This window comes from Homo sapiens, chromosome 7 (assembly GCF_000001405.40).
Source record: "Homo sapiens chromosome 7, GRCh38.p14 Primary Assembly".
NCBI lineage: Eukaryota > Metazoa > Chordata > Mammalia > Primates > Hominidae > Homo > Homo sapiens.
Window position 1 is genome coordinate 141,963,667 of NC_000007.14, and position 10,569 is coordinate 141,974,235.

A 10,569-nucleotide genomic window follows, 5' to 3' on the forward strand; every position below is an offset into this window, starting at 1 on the left:
ATTTTAATTACCCTATTATCTCATATAAGTGGAATCATATAATATTTCTTTTTGTGACTGACTTGTTGCAGTTAGTGTAATGTTCTCAAGGTTTAACCATGTTTTAGCATAATGCAGACTCTTTTTAAGGCTGAATAAAATTCCATTATATGAATAGACCACATTTTTCTTATCCATTCATTGTTGATGGACACTTTGGTTGCTTCCATATTTTAGTTATTGTTAATAATGCTACTATAAACACAGGTGTACAAATAATCTTTTTGAGATCCTGCTTTCAATTCTTTTGGGTATATACACAGAAGTGGAATTACTGGATTATATGGTAATTTTATTTTTAACTCTTTGGGGAACTGCCATACTGTTTTCCACGGTATGGGAAGTCTTTGCTTAAGCCAATGTCTAGAAGGATTTTTTCCGATGTTATTAATATCTTCTAGAGTCTTTATGGTTTCAGGTCTTAGACTTAAGTCTGATCCATCTTGAGTTGGTTTTTGTATGAGATGAGAGAGGAGGATCCAGTTTCATTTGTTGATGTCATTTCCCTACTTCATGTTTTTGTTCACTTTGTCAAAGATCAGTTTGTTGTATTTGGCTTTATTTCTGGGTTCTCTATTCTGTTCCATTGGCCTATGTGCCTATTTTTCTACCAGTACCATGCTGTTTTGGTGACTATGGCCTTATAGTATAGTTGAAGTTGTGTAATGTGATGCCTCCAGATTTGTTATTTTTGCTTAGTCTTGCTTTGGCTATGTGGACTCCATTGTTTTTTCTAGTTCTGTGAAGAATGGTGGTGGCATTTTGGTGGGAATTGCATTGAATTTGTAGATTGCTTTGGCAGTATGGTCATTTTCACAATATTGATTCTACCCATCCATGAGCATGAGATATGTTTCCATTTGTTTGTGTCATCTATGATTTCTTTCAGCAGTGTTTTGTAGTTTTCCTTGTAGAGGTCTTTCACATCCTTGGTTAGGTATACAGGTATATTCCTAAGGTTTTTTTTTTTTTCTTTTTTTTTTTTTTGTAGCTATTGTGAAAAGGGTTGAGTTCATGATTTGATTCTTAGATTGGTCACTGTTAGCATATAGCAGAGCTACTGATTTGTGTACATTAATTTTGCATCCGGAAACTTTTCTGAATTCATTTACCAGTTCTAGGAGCTTTTTGGATAAGTCTTTAGGGTTTTCTAGGTATACGATCATATCATCAGCAAACAGTGACAGTTTGACTTCCTCTTTGCCAATTTGGATGCCCCTTATTTCTTGCTCTTTTCTGATTGTTCTGGCTTGAACTTCCAATACCATGTTGAATAGAAGTGGTGAAAGTGGGCATCCTTGTCTTGTTACAGTTCTCAGGGGAAATCCTTTCAACTTTTCCCCGTTTAGTAGAATGTTGGCTGTGGGTTTGTCATAGATGGCTTTTATTACCTTAAGGTAGTCCCTTCTATGCTGATTTTGCTGAGAGTTTTAATCATAATTTTGATTTGCATTTTCCCAATGATTAATGATGTCGAACATCTTTTCATGTGTTTATTGGCCATTTGTGTGTCTTCTTTGGAGAAATGTCCATTCAAGTCCTTTGCCCCCCTACCCCCACCCTTTTCTTTTGAATGAAGCAACAAAAGCAAAGATTTATTGAAAATGAAAGTATACTCCACAGTGCGGGAGCAGGCCCAAGCAGCGGGCTCAAGGGCCCAATACACAATCTTTTCAGGTCTAAATACCCCCTAGAGGTTGGTGTTCCCCCCTTCAGAGTGGTGAGTTACCCCAGGCCCTGGGTGGGTCCACAGATGATATCTGGGAGCCAGGGATTAAAGTAAAAAACCCTAGAAATTTACCTGGTATCCCATTCTACTGAAGCTAAGCTGGCACTCAAACCACAAGACAAAGTTTTTCCCATTCTTCTCTGCCCTTTCCCCAGGCAGAGGAGCCTCTCTTGTGGCCATGACCACCATGGTTCCACAGGGAGTTCTGCCAGGCCTCCACTGATGTTCACTTAAAGATTAAGAGCTCTTCAGTCAGCTTGTGATGAATGCTGCCAGACCTAGAACTCATTCTTCAAGGCAGTGGATTTCCCTCCAGCCCAGGACAGGCTCAGAAATACTGACCAAGAGCCTAGGCCTGGATTCAGGGACTCCAAGATCCTGCTTGGTGCTCTAACCTACTGTGGCTAAATTGGGACCTAAGGTGGAAGACAAAGCCCCATTTACTTTTCCTCTTGCTTTTCTCAAACCATAACCACCACAGCTGGAGATGTGCTGGATCACACCTGAAGCCAACATGTCTCAGAGCCCAAACTGCAGCATATTACCTGGATATCACTGTTGGTTATTCAGGGCCCGGGGGCTCTTTAGTCAGTAGGTGATGCATCCTGTCAGGTCTCCACTTTTACAGAGCAGCACTGAGTTCAATGTAAAGTCCCTCAATCACTGCACTCTCCTTCTCTCAAAGAAATTGATTTCTCCACAATGTGTGGCTGCTTTCAGGGGGTGTGGGCAGGGTGGCACAAACACTCTCTTAGCCACTCTGACATAGGTCATGTGCCCCCCAAGTCCACTGGCTCTGAGCCTAGCTTAGCACTAAGATTTGACCAGGAATTGCAGTCCTTGTGGCCCAATCTGCCCCTCAAGCTTACTTAGAGACCTAGATCACTCCGTCTTGCAGTGGCAAGGCTGGCCAGAAGTTCTGGCCTCTGGGATAGGCAATTCCCTTCTGGCTAGGGCCAATTCAAATGCTCCCTCCATGGACAGATGTCAGCTGAATTTCACCTGGTTCTGCTTTCTGCTGTGACAGGGCAGCACGGAGTTCAATGCAAAGCTTCACACCTGCTGTGCCCTCCCTCAAGCACACAGATACTCTATGCCATGTGGCTGTTGCCAAGGCATGGGGAGGGGTATAGGCTTCTATTCAGCCACGTTGCTCCATCCCTTCCCCTTCCCTTTTCTAAGCTAATAAGTCATTACATAAATTAGTCTTTTTTTTTTTTTTTGATGGAGTCTCGCTCTGTCACCCAGGCTGGAGTTCAGTAGTGCCATCTTGGCTCACTGCAGCCTCCGCCTCCCAGGTTCAAGCAATTCTCTTGCCTCAGCCTCCTGAGTAGCTGGGATTACAGGTGCATGCCACAATGCCCAGCTAATTTTTGTATTTTTAGTAGAGACAGGATTCCACCATGTTGGCCAGGCTGGTCTCCAACTCCTGACCTCAAGTGATCCACCCGCCTTGGCCTCCCAAAGTGCTAGTATTACAGGCTCTCAAAAATGAGCTACCATGCCCAGCCTAAATTAGTGTTTTTAAATTATGTACAAAACAAAACGTGGAGTTACAAACTAAAGTTACAATAATACTAGCTTTTAGACTCATAATTTTTTAAGTGTATTAATCCCTTTAATCATGTAGAGAACAAAAAGTGGAGTTACAAACTGTTGTTACTAACTTACACTAGCTTTTATTAACTGCCCATGTAGCTTTATTAAGGTCTTTTTTTTTTCATACAGCTTTGAATTCCTATCTAGTGTTCTTTTGTTTCACCTTGCAGGGCTCCCTTAAGCATTTCTTGCAGAGCAGATCTGGTGGTAATGAACTCTATCAGATTTTCTTTGTCTGAAAATGTCTTAATTTCTTCATCACATTTGAAGGACAGTTTATTGAATGAATATAGGATGGTTGACAGTATTGTTTTTAGCACTTTGAATATATCGGTCCAGTGCCTTTCTCTTAACAGACATATTTGAAAAATAAAGAGATATTTGAAAGTAATAGGATAGAAAAATTAACCAAGTGATGTAGTTTGGATGTTGTTCTCTCTAAATCTCATGTTGAAATGTAATCCTTAATGTTGGAGGTGGGGCCTGGTGGCATGTGTTTAAACTATGAGGGCAGATCTCTTGTGGCTTTGTGCTTTCCTTACGATAGTGAGTGAGCTCTCATGAGACCTGGATGTTTAAAAGTGTAGTGCATCTCTCCTCCCCTCTCTCTCTTGCTCCGGCTCTTGCCATGTGAGTTGCCTGATCCCCCTTCACTTCCCATCATGACTGTAAACTTCCTGAGGTCTCACCAGAAGCAGATGCTGTCGCCATGCTTCCTGTATAGCTTGCAAAACCATGAGCCAATTAAACCTCTTTTCTTATAAATTATCCAGCCTCAGATATTTGTTTATAGCAATGCAAGAACGACCTAACACACCAAGAAAACGAAAAGCATATGAATGCTAGAGTGACTATTTTAATATCAAAGTGAACTTCAAGGCAAGTATTATAAGATATAAAGTATTATGAGAGATAAAGTTAATTTTAAAGTATTTTATAATTCTAAAATTATAAAAGGGTAAATTCATCAAATACACATAACAATTATAAACATGTAAGAATTTAATATCAGAGCTTCAAAAAGGATGAAGCAAACACTGACAGGACTACAGAGAGAAGTAGACACATCCATAATTGTGGCAAAAGATTTTTACACTTCTTTCTTATTATTTGAGATTAAAATGAGACAAAAAGTCAGTAAGAATGTAGAAGATCTAAGTAACACTATCAAGCACCTTGACCTAATTGATAGTTATGGGGCACTACATTCAACAACAGCATATCTTTTTCAAATACACATGAATTATTCACAAAGATAGACAATATGCTGGGCCATAAAGTAAGTCTCGATAAATTTCAAAAGATTGAAATATTACAGAATATGTTTTCTGATGGCAATGGAATTAAATTAGAAATTCAATAAGATATCTAGTGAAGTCTAAAATTCTTGGAAATTAAACAGTGCAATTCTACATAAAACATTGGTTAAACCACAAATATAAAGTATAATTAGATAAAAGTTCAAGTTGAATAAAAATGAAAATGTAACATATCAAAATTTGTGTGATGCAGCAAAGAAGTGTTGAGCAGGAAACTTAAAGCTTAAATGTTTATATTAGAACAAAAAAAGGTTAAAATATTGATCAAATTCTCTGCCTTAAGAAGCTAAAACAGGAAGAGAAATTAAACCAAAGAAAGAAGAAAAGAAATAATAAATAATAAAACATAAATAGGAAATAAAAGAGAAAATCAGATGAAACCAAATGATGATTCCTTGTAAACATCAATAAGTTGATGAATCACTAGCTAGAACAATAAATAAAAAGAGACAACAAAGTAATCAAAACTGAGAATGAGGGAATAGAAAGCCAGATACTACAGACATTAAAATGTTAATAAAGGGACATTCTGATCAAATTTATGGCAAAAAGTTAAAAACTTAGATAAAATGGACAAACTCCTTAAAAAATGAAACCAAATTAGACACAAGAAGAAATAGAAAATCTTAATAGTACTATATCTATTAAATAGGTTGTAATTATTTTAAAAAAAGCAAACCTTCATGAATTAAAAACTTCAGGTCCAAATGGTTTCTCTCATGAATCATATCAAATATTTAGAGAAGAAATAATACCAATCTTACACAAAGTTTTAAGATAATAAAGATGGCGGAAATGTTTTCTAACTCATTTCATTAGGCCAGAATAACCTTGTCACCAAATCTTGACAAAGATATGTAATTAAAAAAAAATAAAAATAGAGGTTGGTATTCCACATAAACATATATACAAAGATCCTTGACAATATATTAGCAAATAAAGTAGTGCAACATATAAAGAGAATAATACACTATGACTAAGTGGGGCTTATACCAGGAATGCAGAATTTATTTAACATTCAAAGATTAATCAGTGTAATTTACCATGTTAATGAAATGGAGAAGAAAAACTGTAGGATCATCTCAATAAATACAAAAAAATTTTAAAATAAAATTCAATACTCATTAATGGTAAAAATTGTTAGCAAAGTAGGAATTAAAATGGGCTTTTTACAGCTGATAAAGGGAATCTAAAAATGATCTACAGTTAACTATACCCAGGGATGAAATAGTGAATATTTTCTTCCTAAAAACAGGAACAAGGCCGGAATGTGTACTCACATTAAATCTAATCAGCACTACACTGGAGATCCTAGCCAGTGAAATAAATTTTAAAAAAATAAATAAAGGGCATACATATGGAGAAAGAAGAAATAAAATTGTCTTTATTTGCTGATGACTAAGTATAAAATTTCAAAGAATCTTCAAACAGCTACTAGAACCAATATATTAATTCGGTATATTTGTAAGATAATGGTTAACATACAAAAATCAATTGTATTTTTATATGCTGGTAGCAAATAAAAATGTAAACAACTCTATATACAATAACATTATTAAATATTAAATACATAAGAATAATTTTACCAAAAGACCTTTACACTAAAAATTACAAAACATTGTTGAGATAAATTAAGGACAAAAAATAAAGAGATATGTTTATAGATTTTCAGATGGAATATTTTTGAATATTTAAAAACTTGCTAGTAGTCTACCATAATCAAAAAGTGAGGTATTGGTTAAAGGCTGGACAAATAGATCACTGGAATGCAATATAGAAACCAGAAAAAGATTCATGCATATATAGTCGTATGATTTTCAACAAGAGTTCAAGTCAATTTGAAAATAAAAATCTTCAGTGAATGATATTGGAATACTTAGATAGACATATAAAAACAGTGAAGTTCAGCCCTACTTAATACTACAAAAAAAATTAATTCAAGATCAATTATAGTCCCAAACATCAAAGTAAAAACTATGAAAATTCTAGAGAAAATCATAGAAACTGTTTTTGCATGTCAGAGGCAGGCAGATATTTTTTATAGCAGACACAAAAAGCACAAACATTGTAGAAAAAAATGACATTAGATTTTATTAAAAGTCATCATTTCTGCTTATCAGCGCACTATTAAAAAATAAAAAGGAAAACCACAGTCTGGGTCAAAATATTCACAATGCATATATCAGACAAAGGACTTGTATCCAGAGTGTATATGTTATATATATATATATTTTTCACATACATATATACATATATGTATGTATATATACATGCACATAAATCAATAAATTTCTACAAATCAATAATAAAAAGACAATATAAAACAGTTGTGTATATATAGGAGTTGGATAAGAATACATATATGTATATTATCACACATACACAAATGCTACAAATCAATAAACTCTTATAAATCAATAATAAAAAGATAACTCAATATTAAAATGGGCAAACAAATAGTTACTTTATAATAGAAAAAATACAAATAGCCAAGAAGCACACAAAATTGTTCTCCATATCATCAGTTAGAAGACAAATGCAAATGGAAACCACAATGAGATACCATTTCATCCCCACTAGAATGGCCAAAATCAAAAAGACTGACAACACCAAATGTTGGTGGGAATGTGGAACAGCTCTCCTACATTATTGAGGGGAGCATAAAATGTCAGAATCACTCTGGAAAACTCTTTAACAGTTTTTATAAAGTTAAATGAATATAAATTTTTTAACACAGTAATTTCACTCCTAGGTATTTACCTGAGAAATGAACCTATGCCTACAAAGAAATGGATTCAAGAATGTGTATAGAAACTTTATTCATAGTAGCCCCACACTGTAGGCAATGGAAAATGTTCAGCAATAGTGAGTAGGTAAGCAAGCAGTGACTCATATAATATTATGGGTGAATCTCAGAAACATAATGTTAAAAATAAAGCCATACAAATAAACATATGAAAAGATGCTCCACCTCTACACCAACAGGGCATCTAGAAGAGTGGATCTCAACATTGGCTGCACCCCGAAATCACCTGAGGAGCATTAAAGAATAAAAGCCTCATTTCATCTCAAGAGATTTGATTTGATTGGTTGTATTTGGCCTGGACATTGAGATTTTTAAAAAGCCCCTTAGATAATTTCAATGTGCAGCCAAGAGCGAGGACCTAGGTCTTTAAGGGAATCCTGGGACAACTTCAGTGTCCACCAAGGAAAGGAAGCCAGATGAAGTTGCAAATTTTGTAGCCACTGCAGGTGAAGAAATGGCTAATTTTTGGAGGAAAACTGAGGTGAAGATCTGGATCTATTAAGACCAAGTGCCTGAGAGGAGGAAACAGTTCTCTGGCCCCACAGCTGGCAGAACTAAGAGCCTTGGTGGTGAGCTGCTACAACTGTGAAGCCTGTGAACCACGAAGCCTATCAAGATTTAAATGTCTGGTATACCTTGTTTTCTCCTGAGTCTTTCAGTACCTGATTTGAGGAAAGCCTTCCTGGCTGGGTTCCTGTGCAGGAATACAGACAATGCCAAATCTCTACAAATTTACCTTTCAGCTAGGTGATTTTGGTAGGGTCTCCAACCAGAGAGACCAATACTTGGTACCAGGCAAAGCACCATCTTCAAAGGCAAATTGGGCATAGCCAGAAAGCCCACACAGGGCACCTACTGGCATCCAGGTCACCTACTGAGCAAATATCTGCTTCTCTTCCATCATTATAGAGTAGGTAAAAGTGCATTTCTGGATCAGTGTATTTTCAGACAAAACGACCCCTATCCTCTCGTGCCTCTTGAAGTTGAAGTTATGTGGTACCTCTTGAAGCTGGAATTATGACATAATTATCATTCCAAGTTTGTCTTTGTTTCCATGAAAATTGCGAAGTTTGAAGAGGATTATATCCTTATTGTAGTAGTGAATATTTCCAAAAATGATGCTAGCACAAGTTCCGAGAAAGAGGTTTAACAGTCATGTTAAAAGCCAAACATATTATCTTGGGATTTAGATATTATTTCAGAAGAGATGATTTCTCATGGTTTGATTTATACCAATAATAAGCTATAGTATATAAAGGATTTACACCAAATACTTAATTATTTTGTTCATTTTATCAAAACAAACCTAGGGTACCAACATTATTCTTGCCTAGGCCATGTATAGTGCTTAATTATTTTATTCATCTATAAGTGAGTTCATTGATACAAAGTGGAGAGACTTTCAATTGTGTTTTATAGAAGAAATTGGAAGGCTTTGTGAGGAATCAGAGTTGTATTCCTGAAGAATCAGAGGCATATTTATGAAGACTCACAGGCGTATTAATGAAGAGCTCATTTCATGTCCATTCTCAGCACAGTGTCCGGGAATCTGCCTTGTGGTCGGCTCTTACCTTCAGGCTGCTCTGAGCCCAGAGCAGAATGGTCATCACAGCTCTCCTCAACTTGGCATTGCCTGAGATCAGGATGGCTGCATGCCCAGAGGGACAAGCTGCCATTATCCCAACACAAACCATCACCCCTATTTTGTCGCGCCACAGAATCAGTAGGGGCACAGAGATGAAGGCAGCACAGGATGATATCACAAAGAAGCAGAAAAAGGAGACAAGAGACTTGAGGGCTTTAATGTGGGCCTCCAGGCTGGGGTCACGAGAGTTTCTGGTATAGACCTTCATTGTCCTCATGTGCCTTCCCAGGGAGACAGTCAGCATCCCAGAAGAAACCAGAAACAATAGGAAAGGAGGCACAGACCACAGATAGCAGAAGAGAAAGGAATAAAATAAATTGAGATCTTTAATCTGCCAGTTGAGCCTTGTATTGTTATTCATGAATAGCACAGTTGTGACTGTGAAGTGAGGTCTGCTAAAAAAGCACCAAACACAGAGGACAGTGCAGATGCAGGAGCAAAGAATAATACCCAGGAGCATCTGGGAGATCTTCCTGGAGACCCAGCTTGCCAAGCAGATCAGGAAGGTGTGAGAGAAACGGATGAGCTTGGAGCAGTAAAGCAGGCTGAGGCAGGCAGCAAGCCAGAGGTTGGCTTGGTTTGCAATCATCCATAGCATGATGATGGCTTGGTAGCTGTGGTTCAGTGGTTCACTCAACTTCTGGAAGTGGGTAAGCTGGATAGCACTCAGGAACAGCAGTCCATGCAGGAAAAGCCGGCTGATGCTGAGACACAGCAGCACACAATCACTGTTGCTCAGTGCCTGCCTCTTCACTACATCCCAAAAATTCACCAAGAAAACGAAGGCATTGGTCAGAAACCCCACTGCAAACTCCAGGACTGAAATGAACAGAAATGTACTCCTGACTTCATAGGACACAGTGCGGATGCGAGTTAGAGTCAACATGATGTCACTTCTCTAATTGGCTATTCTACTTCTCTTCTCTAGTTGGCTAATCTAAAGACCTGGTTGCCACCCAGTGCAGAAAGGTAAATGTACGTTCCAAGCCAGGACCTTTCCTTCACAAAGCATCCAGCTCTTTGCCTAGATCTATCCCAAAGCGAGCGCATAAAAAGTTCTGGCAGGAAACTTAGAGGGATGTTGTTTCTCTAGAACATCTCTTGGATACACGTAAGAGCTTATCATAGGGTGGAAGACTGATGGTTCTACCTCTTGGGTGATGCAAGATTAATAAATCCAGGTGTTCCTGTACAACCGCCTTCCCAGAAGGCCATAGCACAGCATCACGGATGCAAACAAAACAGGGCCTCAATTTCCCCAATCCAGTTTTGCATGCCCATCTGGACCTGTGGGGGTGGCGAAGAGAACAGGATTTGCTTATGGGTTTTGAGGCACCCTGCAGCAGGCAAAGCAGATATTCTTGGTGATCTAAGGTTTGAAATAGAGTCTCTTTTCATTTGCATTCCTTCTCTCATCTGTGAAGTAATGACT

The 10,569-nt window shown here is 37.5% G+C and overlaps 1 protein-coding gene across 1 annotated transcript; it reads right to left on the reverse strand.

Moving 5' to 3' along the window:
* TAS2R38 (taste 2 receptor member 38) lies at positions 8,965 to 10,107 on the reverse strand. The gene has a single exon (NM_176817.5). It carries the CDS (start codon positions 10,021 to 10,023, stop codon positions 9,022 to 9,024), a length of 1,002 nt encoding a protein of 333 aa, NP_789787.5. The 5' UTR covers positions 10,024 to 10,107; the 3' UTR covers positions 8,965 to 9,021.